At 51.2% G+C, this 18973-nt stretch overlaps 1 protein-coding gene across 32 annotated transcripts in view, besides 3 other annotated features; it reads left to right on the forward strand.

Annotated features, from left to right (window-relative positions):
* The window catches only part of BANP (BTG3 associated nuclear protein), a 128081-nt gene that overhangs the window by 75836 nt on the left and 33272 nt on the right, over positions 1-18973 (forward strand). For 16 of the 32 annotated variants that reach the window (NM_001384941.1, NM_001384931.1, NM_001384918.1 and 13 more), the window contains 4 exons: positions 2410-2577; positions 8036-8172; positions 10259-10321; positions 12900-12938. In NM_001384941.1, the coding sequence (NP_001371870.1) occupies positions 2410-2577; positions 8036-8172; positions 10259-10321; positions 12900-12938 (407 nt within the window). Of the gene's footprint in view, positions 1-2409; positions 2578-8035; positions 8173-10249; positions 10322-12899; positions 12939-18973 lie in introns of all 32 variants that reach the window. The other 16 variants (NM_001384936.1, NM_001384925.1, NM_001384916.1 and 13 more) reach the window with 1 other exon arrangement.
* Positions 2067-2637: an enhancer, noted in NCBI's record as "H3K27ac-H3K4me1 hESC enhancer chr16:88060746-88061316 (GRCh37/hg19 assembly coordinates)". NCBI's record gives its function as "activates a minimal SCP1, AML or CMV promoter by ChIP-STARR-seq in naive H9 embryonic stem cells {active_cell/tissue: H9 hESC(naive)}" and the evidence as "EXISTENCE:reporter gene assay evidence [ECO:0000049][PMID:30033119]".
* Positions 5558-6059: an enhancer, noted in NCBI's record as "H3K4me1 hESC enhancer chr16:88064237-88064738 (GRCh37/hg19 assembly coordinates)". NCBI's record gives its function as "activates a minimal SCP1, AML or CMV promoter by ChIP-STARR-seq in primed H9 embryonic stem cells {active_cell/tissue: H9 hESC(primed)}" and the evidence as "EXISTENCE:reporter gene assay evidence [ECO:0000049][PMID:30033119]".
* Positions 10544-11044: an enhancer, noted in NCBI's record as "H3K4me1 hESC enhancer chr16:88069223-88069723 (GRCh37/hg19 assembly coordinates)". NCBI's record gives its function as "activates a minimal SCP1, AML or CMV promoter by ChIP-STARR-seq in primed H9 embryonic stem cells {active_cell/tissue: H9 hESC(primed)}" and the evidence as "EXISTENCE:reporter gene assay evidence [ECO:0000049][PMID:30033119]".

Below are 18973 nucleotides of genomic sequence, written 5' to 3' on the forward strand. Positions count from 1 at the left end.
GATGTTTCTTTTTATCGACTCGTGCTCCAAAGATGTTTTCCTGCTGGTGGGATGGCTGTTTCTTTCTTGCCCTCCCGGTGGCAGCAGCTGGGCTGCTTTGTATCTAAAATCAGTAGCTGGGCTCTCATGAAACTATTGAAGTGCAGTTTGAAAGCTGGGTTTTCCGGTAACTATGGTGCAACCTCTGGCAGCAGCTGGGCTCTCCTGTAAGGATTTCCTAGTGATTTTAATGGTTGGGTTCCCCCATGACCACAGCCAGCGGCTGGGTTCCTCTGTGAGTCACTAAAGTTGCTCAGCCTGGGGCTTCCTGAGGCGCCCGAGTCACCCAGCCAAGATTCGAGGGTGACTTGGAGTATTTTAGAGATGACCCGAAAATTGGAAGCCAAAGGGCGGCTGCTTCCTGTATGGCTTCTTTATGCATGAGGATGAAAATGTGCTGCCGAAACCACTTTAGGGTGTTCTTCCCTCTCATCCTACAAATCCCACCGTCCTGACTGGTTTCTTTTTGTCTGCAGCACAGACAGGTTGGTTGTGATTATACAGAGATTCTAAACGTGTCTCAAGTATCTACTGATAAGAAAGTCAAGAGGCATGTTTCCAAAACCCGAGGGACTTTTGATACCTAATCGAGTACTTAAAAAAACCCAAACACTTCTTCCTCTGTTTTAATTATTTCCACCATTTTAGTCTCAATGGGAACAGATTTTTAGGGTTTGGGCAGTAGAGTCCGAACTTGAGGCTCTTGGTAGTTGAAACGGGACACTTTTCAGCTTAATCTTTTTATTACTACAATTTTGGATTCCATCCATGTATTTTCCTGTAAATTAGTGAAGTTGCATGAGCCAGCTAGAGAGGCCACTGCATTGAAGAGCCCTTCCCATCATGCCCACATTCGTCATCGCTACAGGGATGGGGTCCTGTGGCCTAGTGGGAAGTGGCCGGGCGTGCAGTGGGGCGCTGGCTCCCTCCTGTCACCTGCTCCGCCGTGGCCTTCGGATCCTCAGTTTTCTCCCTGTTGAATACAGGGCATCTCTGGATGCTGCTCAGGGCGTGCTGAGAGCTCTCCGTAGCGCAGGTGGTAGAGAACTGGGGGTCCCAGGACAGTTCTCTGCGTGTGCACGGTGAGCCCCAGGAAGACGATGCACCTGGCTTTGGCCCCACAGTGAGAGTAGGTTGTGCCCACTCGGCTTGTGGTATAGGGACTCCAGGGATGAGGACACAGGCCCTGCCCGTAAGGAGTTTGTACTCTAGTTGAGAAGGCACGATAGAGAGGCGTCGGGAATGACATAAGCAAGCCCCGGACCTGAGCAGCGATGGGAGGGTGTCTTGCAGTCCGTTGTCATCACTATTTACACAGGAGCAGCCACTGTGCGCCAGAATGTTCTGGGTGCCTGACCCCCATGGGTGGACACAACAAAGGCCCCTGTGTTTATGAGGGGGACAGAGTAACAGTGCATACATGAATTCTCCAAACTGTGTTTGCGAGGGGAACAGAATAACAATACATGCGTGAATTCTCCAAACTGTGTTTACCAGGGGAACAGAGTAACAATACATACATGAATTCTCCAAACTGTGTTTGTGAGGGGGACAGAGTAACAATACATAACTTGAATTCTCCAAACTGTGTTTATGAGGGGGACAGAGTAACAAAAATACATACTTCAATTCTCCAAACCGTGTTTACCAGGGGAACAGAGTAACAATACATACATGAATTCTCCAAACTGTGTTTGCGAGGGGAACAGTAACAATACACACCTGAATTTTCGAAACTGTGTTTGTGAGGGGGACAGAGTAACAATACACACATGAATTCTCCAAATGCCGGAAGGTGGTCAGTGCTCTGACAAAACAAGTGGGAGGAGGGTGGGAGCCCAGGAGGGCGGGAGGGCCAGGTGGTTATCCAGGGGGATGGTGAAGCCAGGACATGAAGGAAGGGAAGGCGGTGGCCGAGCAGGCCCGAGTAGGCAGAGGACCAGCGAGTTCTGATCCAATTGTTGAGGTCCCTGATCTCACCCTCTGGGCATTCAGGACCTTGGGTGCTGCTGTGAGCTCAGGGCAGAGGGAAGTTGGGGCGTGGAAGGTCTGGGAATCTTGTGAGAGCCCCAAGTGTGCACCTGGTGTGGGCCGACCGAGTCAGAGGGATCGAGAAGTTAAGTAAATGGAAAGAGTGTGTCATGACACCTTAGTGAGCATTTATATCTCGTGGGGAGCCCCGCCTGTGGGCCAGCTAAGCACCTTCTGTGCAGTGGGCCTTTCCAGACCCTTGCAGGAAGACGGGGCCGGCCTGGCGGGCTGGGGTGCCTGGGTGAGGCCTCTTCAGCGGGCCCCGGCCCTGCAGCCAGGCAGCTCCTGGTGGCTGTCCCGAACAGGCCTCACCGCTTCTCCTTGGATGTGTCCTTCCAGGTCACCTTTTCTATAAATTTGGCATCACAGAATCCGACTGGTACCGAATCAAGCAGAGCATCGACTCCAAGTGCCGCACGGCGTGGCGGCGCAAGCAGCGGGGCCAGAGCCTGGCGGTCAAGAGCTTCTCGCGGAGAACGCCCAACTCGTCCTCCTACTGCCCTTCAGGTAGGCCTCGTGCTGCAGGAGAGGCCGCCCTCCCCCGCTCGGGGCAGCTGGCCTGGTGGCACCCTCAGGGGCAGCCAGTGCGTGGCCAGCGGCTCCACCAGTGGCCGGGAGCCGAGGCCAGAGGCTTGCGCGGTGCGCACGGAGCAGTGGAGCCGCAGGACCTGTGCCTGGCCCCGTGCGCCCTTCACACGGACAGCCTCGGGCCTGCTCCAGGCTCCTCCGTGAGGGACAGAGGGCCTGTTGGGCCTCCCGGAAGTCTTCTGGATGGGGGCAAGGAGGCCGAGGCCTTTGCGTGGGGCTGCCGGCCGTTGTATTCTCACGATTTGCCGGGTGACTCCGGGTGAAGAAGTGGGGTGGATTCTGAATTATGCTTTATTTTTGCTTTGAGTTCATGGCCTTAGTTGGATTTATCCACAAGATAATGGAAACAGTTCTCTTTGAGTTGCCTCTCAGGCATCGCTGGGGGGATTGTTCTCCTTGGAGAATTTTCACTAGGAATGACAATGTGACTTGATACTGCCTTTCACCCAAGACATCTCAAAATATTTTAGTAAGTATTTGAATGAAAACTATTCTCTTAAAGCTCCCCACAGTAGCTGCATTGGCAGCGACTCTTGGAACTTGAGCTGTGACTGGGGCTGGGGTCAGGATGCGAGGGCAGCCGTGGGCAGGGCCAGCTCTCCTATTCAGTGGAGTCTTTGTTGGCGGGAACCCTTTGTTCTGGAAGTCCTGGGAGTTGCAGACCAGATCACCTGGAGTTCTCCCGGGGCCTGGTTCTTTCTGAACCGGACTTCAGGAAGTGGTTTTCTCGGGCTGTTTTGGTAGTTATCAGATACTCGGCCTCAGCTGCTGCCCAGGGGCTTGAGGATGGGAGGTGGCTGCCTGTAGTGGGCCACACAAGTTGTGTCCCTAAAGCAGCGCTTTATTGAGTGACCTGTGTTGAAGAAGCTCTTCTATTCTAGGCCTTTCTACTACAATGAGGAATTCTGCCTTGGGACTTGAGAGAGGTAGCAGTCCTGGGGTGTGGGTTAAGGGCATTCACTGAAATACCATGTAGCAGCGTAACCTGTGGCTATTGAAATGCGGCTGTAGGAATATTGCGCATGACTTGAATTCTGCTCTTGAATATTCATAGCTAGGCAGCAGAGAGCGATGTGAGGACTATACTTATGGCATGATACCATTTTTATTGCAAATATATAGGTATATGTGGAAGTTGATTAAAAATTTATGTGTGATCATTTTTACAGTGCCTGTCTCTAGGTAGTAGGATAATTTTTATTTTTCCCTTTGTCTTTCATTGTAGTTTCTCAGTTATTTCCAATAAGCACTGCATTAGTTTTATAGTTGTAAAAAATGTTTAAAAGTCAGGGAGCCCAGGCGTGGTGGCTCATGCCTGTAATCCCAGCACTTTGGGAGGCTGAGGCAAACTGATCACCTGAGGTCAGCAGTTTGAGACCAGCCTGGACAACATGGTGAAACCCCGTCTCTACTAAAAATACAAAAATTAGCCAGGTGTGGTGGCGCATGCCTCTAATCCCAGCTACTTGGGAGGTTGAGGCAGGAGAATTGCTTGAATCCAGGAGGCAGAGGTTGCAGTGAGCTGAGACTATGCCACCACACTGTAGCCTGGGTGACAGAGCGAGACTGTATCTCAAAAAAAAAAAAAAAAAAAAAAGCCGGGTGCTGTGGCTCACGCATGTAATCCCAGCACTTTGGGAGGCCAAGGCGGGCAGATCATGAGGTCAGGAGATCGAGACCATCCTGGCTAACACGGTGAAACCCCGTCTCTACTAAAAGTGTCAAAAAAATTAGCCGGGCGTGGTGGCTGGCGCCTGTAGTCCCAGCTACTCGGGAGGCTGAGGCAGGAGAATGGCGTGAACCTGGGAGGCGGAGCTTGCAGTGAGCCGAGATCACACCACTGCACTCCAGCCTGGGCTACAGAGCAAGACTCCGTCTCAAAAAAAAAAAAAAAAAGTCAAGGAGAGGAGGTTTCTGTCAGGCACACTAGCAGGAACCAGATTGAATTCTCTTGCCATTGAAATCTGGACAAAATTTGTGTCTGTGAATCGGCTGTCCTAAGACGTTAGACAAGCAACAGCACAGGACCGTGATCCTGAGAGAAGGAACATGAGAGGAGGGGACAGGGAGATACCGGGCAGAGACACCTGCATCACTGCATGGAGGAGATGGGTTGGAGTTGAGAGAGGCTGAGGCAGCAGAAAGTTGTGGAATCAAGTTCCTAAGAGCAGAGGGTTACACGGGGGCCTTCTTGGGTGTTTGGGGGACTCCAAGGCAGGCATGAGCTCAATGGCTCCTAAGCTCACCCCAGGCTGGGTGGTGGTTGGATTCCCACTGGCCGGAGTCCTCAGTGATCAGTCGCTGCACTAGCAGGCCATGCCTACTGGCAGGCTAAACTATCCCTAGAATAAAGGCAGAGCTTAAGACAGCCTGAGAAAGATCACATTGAACCACAAGTAACAACACTTTTAAAAGAAAGACAACAAAACCTAGACACCCAACAAAGTAAAATTCACAATCTCCAGTATCTAGTCCAGAGTAGCAGGAAGCAGGAGATTGTGACCTATGATCAGAAAATCAGCAAATAGGAAGGGACCCTGTCTGGAATTAACTGACCAGGACATTGAAATCTATTAAAATTACATTCAAGAATTTAAAGGAAAAAAGGAACATAGCAAGGAGAGAAATAGAAGACATAAAAAAGAACCGTATGGAACTCCTAGACTCGAAGAGTGAGGAGAGTTGTTGCCAGGCTTGCCTTCCATGTGTTTCGGGTACGTGCATTTGGTAAGGTTAGCGGTCTGCTTCATCCAATGGGGAATGAAAACCCAAGTTAAATGACTTGCCAGGACCTTAGTGAGCAAGAAGCTGCTGTTATATAACCTGACGACTGCCAGATATGTTGGCCTGCGTCATTAGGATACCAGAATCTTGAAAGAGTACATTTAATGAGCTGAAATGTCACAGCTGGAAATGTAGACTCAGAGCATTTGCACAGGAGTAGACGGTGGTGCAACAGCGTGTGAAGCCGAGTGTTTTGCTGGCTGCGCTGGTAGGCAGGAGCTTCCTCGGAGCCCTTGTGGTTGCAAGGTGCACTCTGGAGCACACCCATTCTTTGCTTGTCTGCCCTGTGGCCCCAGTGGAGTGTTTTGGAGCTGCTGGGAGAAGCTGTCCAGGGACAGACTGTCATGGTGGCAGTGGGCTGGAAACCGTTGTCTTTGGGGAAACGGTTAGAAATGGAGATTTCACAAGGTTTGATAATGCTTAGATGCCTGGAGAAGTAGCGCATAAGTAAAGAATTAGGCTGGTTTTGTAGGTGCTAAGAGGGTCAGTGGAGGAACAGCAGCTCCGCGGAGGTGGGCTTCAGCCCAGCTGGGATTTTGTCATTTTCTTCCTGGGGTGCACAAGGCTTGCTCGAGGACCTGTGGTGGTGAGTGCTCCGTAACTGCTCAGGCAGACAGGAAGCCGCCGTGGAGCACGCAGCACTGCCTGGCGGTGGTTGCTTTGGGACATGACCCATCACTGGAGGTGCTCAGGTGGAGTCAGGGTCTTTGGCTGGAGCCGAGCTCTCCACATGCAGCATGCAGGTGGGCTTGTTGAATCTCCTTTGAATCTCATGAATTTCAGATTCTGATTTAGTGTAGCTAGGCAATTTCTAGCATATTGCAAGTATCAACATTCTGTTAATGTGACTGGGCACAGTGGCTTACACCTATAATCCCAGCATTTTGGGAGGCTGAGGCAGGCGGATCATTTGAGGTCAGGAGTTCAAAACCAGCCTGGCCAACCTGGTGAAATCCCTTCTCTACAAAAAAATACAAAAAAAAATTAGCCCAGCATGATGGTGGGTGCCTGTAATCCCAGCTACTTGGAAGGCTGAGGCAGGAGAATCGCTTGAACTTGGGAGGCGGAAGTTGCAGTGAGCCAAGGTCATACCACTACACTCCAGCCTGGGTGACAGAGCAAGACTCTCTCTCAAAAAAAAAAAAAAAGAAACCCAACATTTTATTGTTACTTTAAAAAATGTATTCAGTGGAATCTAGGTACTATGGCAATTTAATACCTACCATTAGCTATTGGTAAAAAATACATGGAAAGCTTTTCTCTCCCCTCCCCCGCTCTTGCCCTCCCCTCTCTTGCCCCTCCCCGTCCCTTCCCCCGCTCGCTCTGTTGCCTGGAGCTGAGTGCCATGGTGCCATCTCAGCTCACTGTAACCACCTACTCCCAGGTTCAAGTGGTTCTCCTACTTCAGCCTCCCAAGTAGTTGGGACTACAGACGCGTGCCACCACACCTGGCTAATTTTTGTATTTTTAGTAGAGACGGGGTTCACCATGTTGGTCAGGCTGGTCTCGAACTCCTGACCTGAAGTGATCTTGCCCGCCTTGGCCTCCCAAAGTGCTGGGATTACAGGCGTGAGCCACCGCGCCTGGCCCGCTTCTCTTTAATAATCAATAATTTTATGTCTTTCATTTTTCTCCTTTCATTCATATCAACATTCTACTTCTCTCACAGAATTTCATCTTACTGCTTCCCTCCCCTGTACCCCCGAGATGGAGTCTCGCTCTGTTGCCCAGGCTGGAGTGTAGTGGTGCCATTTCGACTCATTACAACCTCCGCCTCCCAGGTTCAAGTGATTCTCCTGCCTCAGCCTCCTGAGTGCCTGGGATTACAGACCCCCACCACCACGCCTGTCTAATTTTTGTATTTTTAGTAGAGATGGGGTTTCACCATGTTGGCCAGGCTGGTCTTGAACTCGTGACCTCAGGTGATCTACCTGCCTTGGCCTCACAGAGTGCTGGGATTACAGGTGTGAGCCACCGTGTCCGGACTACATTTTTATGCTTAAAAGCTTTTTAAAATTAGTCATTATAATTCTCTGCAACAAAACTACGTGTATACATTGAAAATTAAAAAGTTTTTCTGCGCTCTTAATATTCTGAGAGTTTAAGAAAATTATGATTGAGACATCATTACAGTGAAAATTAATACACAGTACATCAAAGCAAATGTATCTCATTTTGATTAAACACAGCAAGTAAAATTTGTTGGAAATGTATCTTTAAGTGTGCGGATGAGACTTTTGCTCTATTAGTTTAATTACCCATGGACAAATATTGCCAGCCTGAAACAGCTTTTAATGTCCACTTTAAGAACTTCATTCATTTAAATAAGTTGGGGACTAGAAGGGGTTTTGTCATAGCAGCATCACGCCACTCTCAGGCCCTTTTGCATTCCATGTCGGAAGCCTCAGTTCCTAAGACTCACTGGTAGTGATCTCTGCAGAAGAGTGGAGATGCAGTGAGTCGAGGAAAAATGAAGCATTTCCTCTTCTCTGCTGTGGGAGTCGACAGTGGGGGACGGGGGTGCACACATGCCACACCAGGCAATGCCTAAGAAACTTCTCGTTCACCCCGTTCACACCTGTTGCCCCCACAGAGCCGATGATGAGCACCCCACCTCCTGCCAGCGAGCTCCCGCAGCCACAGCCGCAGCCGCAGGCCCTGCACTACGCGCTGGCCAACGCACAGCAGGTGCAGATCCACCAGATCGGAGAAGACGGACAGGTGCAAGTAGTACGTACCCTCTCCACCTCACACCTTGGGAAAGGGGGCTGCGGGGTGGGCCACGGCAGGGCCATGGCGGCTTCCACCGGTTCCGCTGTGTTTTGGGAGCACAGTGATAGCTTGGGAGGAGGCACAAGGTCCCCATTTAAAGTAGAGGTCATCGTGGCCATGAGCTCTTAACATTTCACAGGTGGGGGCGGCTGCTGCAGAGCCTAGGGATTGAAGCACATGGTGGGGTGGGGCATTCAGTCAGCTCACCTCAGTCCTGCCAGCAGGCAGGCGGGCAGTCAGCTCCAAGGGTCAGGCCGTGCGGTGGTCCCTGCCCCAGCTCGTGCTCCTGGGAAACATCGGAAATATTTCTCAGTTCAGAAGTGCAGGCGCTCTCTTACTGAGGGAAAGAGTAATTTCCTTCTAGGATCAGTGGCAAAAGCTTGAGGTCATTGTTCCCATGCAGCGTGTCCCTTGGAGTTACTCAGCACACCCAGGTTGGGCGGGCACTGTCCCAGCAGCAAGTCAATGTCCTGCCTTGCCCGTGCGGAGTTCTCTATTGGGGTTTTGTGACCCAAGCTGTGGTCAGCCTGATGCGCCTAGGGGCTTGCTCCCGGGTGAAGTCCCTCTACAAACACCTCCTGGATTCTGTGGCATGAGAGTAGGGCGTGGCTGAGAAGGAAGGAAGACTTTTCTGGAAGCTTTGCTGAGTGACTAGAAATTTTACATGCACCACTAGACCTCGCCTATGTTTTTAGTGGCACCAGCCCCCTTGGGCCCTCTGAAGACAGGTCATCGTGTGCCTCCGTGTCACCAGGGCTTTCTCCTGGAAACATGGTCCTCCACTATTGAGAGTGGGGCGTGGCTCTCATCTCAGTGTGGCTTCAGCATGCTGTCTGGAAGAGGGAAGGCTTCCGGAAAATTCTGGGGCTTTTAGAGGGGGCGTTACCCTTCCTCTTCCAAAGGAGATGAGACAGTTATGAATAGTGAATCTTATTTAATAAGCTTATTAATTTGTTTGACATTCACAACGGCAGTTCCTCTCATCTTGTTAGTAAGAAGTTCTTTGAAAGCGTTCCAGAGTAGATAACTTTGTCATAAGGCTTACATAGAACATTCTACAGGAGTTTATTTTAAGATCCATTTCGACTAAGAGAGAATTTCAAATAAGATAAGGAGTATTCGTTTCATTTACAGGTTTATAGGAATTATTTGTCTGCCCATATGTATAAACAGTGGATTCTTTGATTTTTTTTGAATCACATTTATTAGTGTTTACTGAAACTGTCTAAATAGTCATATGAGTGTTTCTTTGATTTGAAAAACGTTGCCTGCCCTGTTGTGAGTGTAGGCACGCCAACAGCTCCCCTGCTTCAGCCACACACTGCGTAGCCTCCCAGTATCCCCAGAGAGCTGAACGTATCATTTGAAAAGAGGTGTCATTGTGATTTTCTATTTCCCCTCTTTTCTGTGTGTCATGCACATTTTAAAATTTACTTGTTTAGTAACATTTAAAGATGTAAATATCTTTCCTGGGACCTATTGCTCCTTTGTGAAGTGCTGGAAAATGTTCTGTGTTACACAGCAGCCCCCCCTTACCCATGCTTCCACTTTCCCAGGCTTTAATTACCCATAGTCAACTGTGATCTGAAAATATTAGATGAGAAACTCCAGAAATAAACAATTTGTAAGTTTCAGATTACATACTCTTCTGAGTAGTAGCATGATGAAGTCTGGTCGTCCTGCTCTGTCCAGCCCGGGACGTGAGTCGTTCCTTTGTCCAGCATGTCCAAGCTGTGTGGCACATATGGGCGGGAAAAAGCATAGCATATATGGGGTTCAGCACCATCCACAGTTTCTGGCGTCCACGTGGTGGGGGTAGGGGGTGCTTCTTGAAACCCTCATGGATGAGGGGGACTACTGTGAACCAAAAGCTTAATTTAAAGAAGTGACCACAGACTATATTGCACTATTCAGGATTTAGTTATCTTTTTGAATTGTAAACAGATAATCAAGAACAAACATTCCGGAAGATGTTTCTTGTTTCCTTTGCTTTTGATTTTCTTCTGATGCTTCTTGGTGTCTTTTCTTGCTGCGGATCCCACAGGGACACCTCCACATCGCCCAGGTGCCGCAGGGGGAGCAAGTCCAGATCACGCAGGACAGCGAGGTGAGTCAGCTCTCGCTGCAGCACTGTCCCTGCAGGCACCGTGCCCACATGCTCCCGACCTTCATCGGTGTCACAGTGCGAGGGCAGCAGGGAGCCCCCAGGACAGGGAACGTGGGCAAGGGCTGCAGGACTCCGCTTCCAGGGTGCACATAGCGGGCCTGCAGTCTCTGTGGCCTCTCTGCCTCCCCCTCCTGTCCGTTGGTCTCCACAGCTTCTGGTCTGTCTTGGTAAAGATCTCCTGGGTAGATGTTTCTACTGCTGGCTGGAAGTGCCCTCTGAGTACCCTTCTCTCCCTGTCTGGCCCTGCCCTTCCTGCCAGGGGAGGCCCCCAGTGTGGCCGAGATGGGGTCTGCCCCTGCGTAGGTGACCTGACATACCCCCTCACCTGCCATGTGGCCCCAGCTTCCTAGTGGCCTCTACGGGATTAGTGCCGATTTCATGGGATGGTGGGGAATCCCACAAGGTGATGCTGCCAGTCCTGAGAGCTGCTCATAGCCCTTGACGCACCTGCTGGGTCTGTGATTGTCTCAGTTTCTGGAGCTCTACCCGGCCACGCACTCAGAAGTGCGGGCTCAGCTGCTGTTGGGGTCTGGAATGTGAAGGCGGCAGTGACAGTCTGAGTTCTTGGAAAGCCGAGGCCAGCCTGTTGCGATGCTCCATGTTTGCATGCCAGAGCAGGACTGTCTCCCGGGTGACCGTCCTTCGACTCTGGGCTGTTTCCTGCAGCACAGGCAGCAGCAGGCACAGGGCACTAAGCAGCACACACGTGTTGTACTCAGTGACCGTGGTGCGCTCTGGGGGATGAGGAACATGGCTGTTTCTAGGTCGTGACAATGGCACCAGCTTTGTGTTTGGTGCATAGTAGTGTGTCGCTGCAAAGATCTCAGGCTTCCCCACACACACCAGCAGCAGAGACTAGGAAGCCCGGGTGCTGAGGTCAAGGGGACTCATGGAGATGTTGGCGTGCGAGGCCTCCTGGGAGCTCATGCTGGGTGCAGGTGCTGTGGGGGAGCAGAGGAGAGAGAAGCCCTGCCATCGGGGACTCACAGCGGGCGCAGAGCCTCCTGCCCAAGTGCCCGTGAGCAAGACTGTGGACACATGCACGCCGTGGCACGTGGAGCACCAGGGACTCGGGCGTGTCTGCTGGCAGTGGCTTTAATTTGGACACCAGCAGTTCCCGGTGGGTTATCCTGAGAGGGGAGCACATGCGTAAGGGTTCTGAGGGCGGAATGAGGATGAGGTGAAAGGGGAGGAACGAATTCATGTGGGGGCCGTGAGCGACTGGGAATGAGTGGGCTCATCCACACAGCGACATGACCAGGTCACTAAGAAACGTGGTCAGATGGATGGATGGAAGGAAGCAGCAGGGCGGGGAGCAGGTAGGGGACGGTCCCAGGAGGCCAGAGTGTCCAGGAAGGAGCAGGGCCTTCCCTGTTCTGTGTCTGTGGGTGGGTCAGGGACCATCTCCTTGGAGATGTCAGGAGATGCGCCTGTCAGCTCAGCGAGGTCAGGTGCAGGAGTTGGGGGCCTGAGTGGCTGCGAGGTGCAGGATCCCAGCAGCACCTTCCAGTGCAGGAGCTGCCTTTGAGGGGCAGGGGAAGGTTTGCTTCTCAAGGCACAGACAGATGTGGGCTGGGAGGCTAAGCTCACTGCCAAAGAGCTCAGCCAGAGTTCTTGAATACCTGGAAGCCTATGAAGTTCGTCAGAATGCTTAATTTCCTTAGAGTCATTGAAAATGCAGGAAAATTGAAACAGCAGCAAAAGAAAAAAAACAACACACATTTGCTTTTTATAGTTTATGCTAAAAAAATCTTGACTACTCGAATTTCAATTTTTTATTATTAGTTTTATCCATCAGTTTTCAAAACTGAATCCATCTTGTATAGGTGATTGTCTTTCGTTTTCAATAGGAATTGAATGCAGTAAGTTAGAAATTGCTAATAATACTAACGATGGCTTTGTGATGAGTGACAGTATGCAGTCTCGTCACCATACATTCATACCGTGTTCATTTAAAATTATTTTGTTAAAACAGGATATCTGCAAATAAACATTTAGCAGGGTCTGACAGACAACACAGTTCCTTTTTACAACAAATGAAAATGAATTTCTAACTGGAGAGCTCTTAGTAGCTCTGTGGTTGAGTGAGTTGGTTCCTTGCGTGCAGCCCGTGACCTGGCGTGGTGATGCCGCACAGCTCAGCAAGGCGTCCCCCTTCGGGGAAGCTGGGCGACACACACATAGGACGTCTCTCTGCTACTTTCTGTACTTTTTGTGAGTCAGATTCTTTCAAAATAAAAAATGAAGTAAAAATGACATTTTCATTTGGGGTCAGGGTAGGGGAATGAGTACAATGCTTTTTGAGTTGTTTGTTCATCTTTAAAATAATAAATAGTACCTAGAAATGTCAATATTTTGTTTTGGGGCTTTTGTTGCTACTGGAGGTTGAATTTTTGCAGAACTGGGGTTTTCTTGTTATTCTCAAGTGGCCTGTGATGTGTCTTGGCGTGTTTGCCGTGTCTGAGGGTGTCTTGGTGTGTTTCTACTCATGACCGTCTCCTCCTCTCGTTCTTTGTAGGGCAACCTCCAGATCCATCACGTGGGGCAGGACGGTCAGGTGAGTGTCCCAGTCCCCATGCACATGCGGGCGTTGCGCTGCCGAGGGATGGGGTTCTCAGGGGAGGGGGTGGGACGGTCAGGTGAGTGCCCTGGTCCCCATGTACATGTGGGCATTGCGCTGCCGAGGGGTGGGGCTCTCACGGGAGGGGTGGGACGGTCATTGTGGGCATTGCGCTGCCGAGGGGTGGGGCTCTCATGGGAAGGGGGCGGATGGTCAGGTGAGTGCCACAGTCCCCCTCTCACATACAGGCCATGGTGCTGCCAAGGAATGGGGGCTCTCGCGGGAGGGAGCGAGGGTGCAAAGGCCTCTCAGTGTGAGCCCCAGAGCAGGACTGGCTTTCCTCACCATGACAATGCACAGGCCTGGAAGGGGGGAGGGCAGGGCTTGGGGGTTACATTTGCTGCTCCGTAGGATTTCAGCAGCTTTTGCGCTATGGCGGAAACGTGCCCTCCCACCCCCGCCACCCCACCCCCTTCAGATGGTTATTTTCTGCACACGCATGCGTATGTTGATGGTGGTCATGTTTGCACAGATAACTCTGTTAGAAAAAGGTGGTTTCGCTCCTGTGTATTGCCGTCAAACTCACAAACTTGCCAGCTTTCTAATCCTTGATGAAAAGAGTGACCATTGGTTGAACACCCCAGTACGAATGGTCTCTACAAAATGACGTGCTCCGACGGTGCGGGTCCTGGGGAGGGTGTTGCTGTGCAGGACAGAGTCCACTCGCTGGTGGTTTTGAGGCTGTGTGTTCCTAGGTCCTGGTGAAGACCCTTTCTGTTCAGGAGATGGCTGTCACCTCTGGATCACTGAAGAATCTGGGTGATCTTCCCATTTCATAAAACAGAAGCTGGGAAGTTGACAGTGAGAACCATAAACAGAGCTCACTGCGTAGAAAGATAATACTAATTTTTCAAAACCACAGTGCACTGTCCTTCGAGAAACCTGCATGCGTTCTCTTTGTCAAGGCCAGGCCCTGCGGATCTCTGACCCGACTGAGCCTGGTGCACTCCCAGAGCGAGGTGCTTTACACAGAGCGGGACAGAAGGGCATGTGCTCCCGTGGGCTTTCCGTTGACCCCTCAGAGGCACCTTGGGAGAAGGGCTGCAGACCCTCCAGAACTGGTTTATGTCAGAGTTTCTTAGTTGGAAAGTTTCATCTTAAAGATCAGCACGAGGTTTTCTCAGGTAGTCCTGCAGCATCGCTCGTCTGTAAGTATGAATTGCTGCTCTGGAAAAGAGCCAAAGGAATGCGCAGCTTTTAAATCCACAGTTGTGGCTTTGTGCTCACTCCACTGGGGTAATGAGGCTGCGGTCGGCGCAGTGCAGGTCAGTTCTCCGCGCCTTTGTCCCGTGGTTCTCACGGTCACGGGGGCAGCAGAGGACAGGGCTCATAGCTGGCGGTCCGTCTTCGTTTTCTGCAACATAGTGGTTTATGGTTCTGCTGGTAGTGGAACTGTATCATAGTTGAAACGCTGCTGGACGTTTAATTCCTAGGAAAAGTAAGGCACGTCACCTTCGACATTCCCTTGTTCCTGTCTCTACCCCTGAACAAAATCCACTTGGAATTTTAAAGACAGAACCAGCCTTTTACACTGTATTACTGCAGTGCTTCTGTTTATGATTGTAGACAGAATTCTCCCAACTTTATTGTGGGGACAGAGATTCCAGCTTTTCTCAGCAGGCATGGAGGCCCGTTGGCTCCAGCACAGATCTGAGTTCAGGAAGGACTCGGGGCTGACGTCGGAGGAGTTGCTGTCTGGATTTCTCTGAACAAGACTCTGTTCTGGTGTCTCTGGTTCCTCCGTCACTGCTGCTGCCCCACGTGCCTTTGCACTGCAAGCAGGGTCGCAACTGCTGCTCATTCCCGGGTCTTCCGTGGCCCCTCTGAGTCCCCACTCTCTCTAAGTGGCCTTACCGCAGAATGAATAAAGCTGCCGTACTACCACTTTTTATGTGAAACAAATAATAATTTATAAATCACCTGTTTTTGTCCGCCTTGTGAACTCTCATACGCTCCTGATTCCTATTATCGGTCACATTTCTGGGACCTCAAATCAAAGACGGCTTCAGGAGAGGCCGGTGCTGCCACTCAGGGTAGCGGGCGGAATCTTGGTACATGGCCCCTGCTTCTCTTGGGAAGGAAACTGCTGTGTGATTTAAAGAAACCGCTGTGTTCATCTGAAGCTGCCTTTTCTGGTGAATCTGTGTAGCGAACCCCCTCGTTTTCCATTTGTGGAAATCCTTTTTTTTTTTTTTTTCCATCATTTGGCCAGTTCTCATTCCTGCTGAGCTACACCCTGCTCATGCAGGCTTCGTCCTCCGGGCTGGCCACACGTTTGGGAGACAGAAGGATGTTTCAGAAAGCACAGAGAAGCCCACTCGCCTCGATGTTGTCGACTGGGCTAAGAAGCCCCGAGCAGTGCGGGGGTCACATAGCCCATTCGCTCTCCTCCCCGTCCCCATGCCTACAGAAGCCCCGAGCAGTGCGGGGGTCACACGGCCCATTCGCTCTCCTCCCCGTCCCCGTGCCTACAGAAGCCCCGAGCAGTGCGGGGGTCACACGGCCCATTCCCTCTCCTCCCCACCCCCATGCCCACAGGAGGATAGTGCATGCAGGTCTAGGGCTCTCTCTTCTCCAGCCAGACTTGATCTCAGAAGCATCCTTCATGTGACACTGCAGATGGCTCAGCTCCCCGTACTGTCCCGGAGGCCCTTGGCCTGCCCTGGTGTGAGCACTGGCTTGATTGATGGGAGACCCTGCAGCCCACGCTTGTTCCAGGTGGTTGGGGGAGGGCGAGGAACAGCACCCCAACCGGAGTAAGAGAACACAAAGAAATGGACGCGGCTGTTTTAAGTTCCTAGATCACTGAGGATTGGCTTAGTATTCCCTTCTGATTCCCTAGTTCCAACTGTCATTTAGGAATGGTTATGTGGCAGTAGACTCAGAATCTGACAGAGCAGCTAGAAATCCTCTTGGGAGGGTGGCCAGGCCTTCCCTCTTCCGGCCATCCGTTTTCCGTCATGGGGCTGGGGCCTGTGCCCTGTGCCCTGTGCCCCCACATCCTGCACCCCAGCCCCTTTCCTTGTGCTGGGCTCACACTTGTTGCCGTTCTCCTCCTATTCCACTTCTGAGATGATTGTTGCTATTACTTCTTGTAGTTAATTGATTATTTTCAGAATCAGTGGACAGCTTCTCTGAAAATAGCCTCCATTCTTAGTTCCACGGAGGGAGGGTTGTGCGCTGTGCTTGTGGATTGCTGCCGGGGCGACGGGTTTGAGGCCACGTCTGCAGCCAGCAGCAACGTCAGTTCCAGGAGGGCCTTGGTGGCTGCGGTGCTGGGAAGCGCCATTGTGCTGCGTTGGTGTGACCCTGTGGCACCTGCTGCCAGGGGACCATTCTTTTTGAGTCATGTTTTCTTCAAATTAAATATTGAGAGATTCTAGTCACATCCCACAGTTGCCATTTGCTGTCTGAGTAGAAAATATGAAGAATCGCCTGATTTGAAGCTATGTGGTCAGTTTCATGTCCATAGCAGCCTTGCTTTTCTTCCTTGCTGAGAGATGGAATGCCCTGTCTCACGCTCTTTCTGCCATTACGTCTCTGTCTGCTCTGATACTGAGGTTCCAGGAGGGCTGCCTCGACCTCCTTTCCCTGTAGCCCACGACACCCGCATCCTCTGGTTCTTTGCCAACAGTCGTGGTGCGCGCTTACATCTGGTGCTGGGTTGCAGGCAGGATGGGACTCACAGCTGTTCGTTGACTCTGGGAGGGCTCCCCTGGCTGAGGCTGTCTGCTGACAGGTGCTCTGCAGGTGAGTGTGAGCCTGCACTAAGGAATGCTGATTAGAGTCCATTTCAGGCCCTGTTGGGCACACTGGGAGTGCGCAAGAACCACAGAGCCTGAGAGACACAGTAGGAGGGTGGGAGACGCAGTAGGAGGGTGAGAGACGCAGTAGGAGGGTGAGAGACGCAGTAGGAGCGTGGGAGACGCAGTAGGAGGGTGAGAGACACAGTAGGAGGGGTCGGGAGAGCCACCTGCACCAAGGCCTCAGGACAGCGAATGGCACAGCCATGGGGAGGGTGACTGCCTGTGCAAGGCCGGAGGCCATGGGCACCTGGGTCCAGTGAGGTCAGACGGAGCCCCCGGTGCTCAGCCTCCTGTGACCAGTGTTGGGGGGTAGCAGTAGCGGATGGTGCATCCCAAATGCGGGCAAGAAGTTTGGAAAGATTGGCAGAGCACCAGAGGCTTCATAAAGAGCCATTTGGGAAGATGAGGTTCAGGGGACGGTGGCGGGTGCGCAGGTGTGGGGACGCACTGGCTGCATGGTGCCAGCTTCCTCCTCCCCGAGCTGTGCCCTCCAGCGCTGTGTCTCAGCCTCCCCTCCAGGAGCGCTCACTTCCTCTCAGCTCTGGGCCCCTGTGGCCTCTGCTTTGCCAGCTGCCCAGCCATGATGACCAGTTTCCACTCCAGTGCTATCTCTGTCTTTATTGTTCTTTTTGACCTCTAGGTGCACATGCTGTCGTGCCCCACTGTTCCAGCATCGCTGGCTGGGAGAGGGAAGAGAAGGTGAAGGGCTTCCTTAGAACACTGACATTGAAATTGCAGCTGAATATTTAAAAAAAATGTTTTGTGCTGGCTCACACCTGTAATCCCAGTACTTTGGGGAGGCTGAGGTGGGAGGATCGCTTGAGCCCAGGAGTTTGATGCCAGCCTGGGCAACATAGCGAGACCCTGTCTCTACAGAAAAAAAAAATTAGCCACGTCTGGTGGTATGTGCCTGTAGTCCCAAGCTACTCATGAGGCTGAGGCAGGAGGATTGCTTGAGCCCAGGAGGCCCAGGCTGCAGTGAGCCGTGATTGTGCCACTGCATTCCAGCCTGGGCAACAGAGCAAGACCCTGTCTCAAAATAAATGAAGTGTACAATTCAATGGTTTTTCAAAAAATTAAAATACTTAAAAAATTATTTGGAACCACTTTGGCTGGTTTCAAAGGTTGTGTATTATCTTTCCTCCTGAATAACAACGAGCATTCAGGTCACTGTGGGAGCTGCCTAAGTGAGAGTCTCAGTCTCGGGCTTTGTAGAGCAGAGCCCGTGTGTGTGGACCTGTGCTGCCCTCCTCGCCTCTTGCCCTCCGCCGCATCCTCATCATGCACCTAATCTGCTGCCTTCCAGGGAAGCCAAACAGCCACTGCTGTTGGAGTTGAAATTAAAATGCAGTGGCTGGTTCTGGTCATGGCTCCAGGCATGGGTAGCTCCTTCGGGTGAGCTGCGTAGAGCTGAGCCTGGGTCTTTGGCTGTTTAGATGCATTTGTGGCTGTGTTCTGGGTGCTTCTTCATTGAGAGTGGAGTTGTGGAGAAATGGCTCCTTCGTCAGCTGACTACACTGTGCTGATTTCTTTTGTCCCTGCCTCACTGGGGGTGTGAGGCATCCGGGCAGCATTTTCCTTTACTGCACAATCCCTGTAGTGTTGGCTTTGTTGCTCAGTGAGTATTTGAAATTAATCATTTGCTGCCCTGGGCATGAAGATCAAATGATATCATAGTAGAAATTCGGAATGATTTAGGTAGAGGTGTTATTGTATTGCCCATATGGTTAACTTAAGGGATTGCAGAATTGGTTTGAGTAGAGGACAGGCCTTGTATGGTAAATTAGACCACAATCAGGGGCATCTGGAATTCCCTGAAATTCCCTGGAGCGGGGAGAGGCAGTCTGGTGTGCCAGAGATTCATAGAGGGAGAGAGTACGTTCAGACAGACGGTGCCAGGAGTGTAAAATAATTTATTGTCTAAGGAATTTCAATTTTCAGTTAGTGGTAAGGATAATAGAATCTTTAATTTGGTGCAGATTTTCAGAAGATTCTGAAAAACAAAAAAAGCCCTTAAAAATTAAGAGTTGTAAGGATTGAAATTTGCAGGGAGGTGGATGACTTTATTTTTGAGTGCATTTTAAATGAAAATTGATGGTTTTTTTATGAGGTCATGGGAACTTTTGCATAAGGTGGATAGACCAGTTGGCCACTTCAGGGGGCTGG

The sequence above is a fragment of the Homo sapiens genome, chromosome 16 (genome assembly GCF_000001405.40).
Source record: "Homo sapiens chromosome 16, GRCh38.p14 Primary Assembly".
Lineage (NCBI taxonomy): Eukaryota > Metazoa > Chordata > Mammalia > Primates > Hominidae > Homo > Homo sapiens.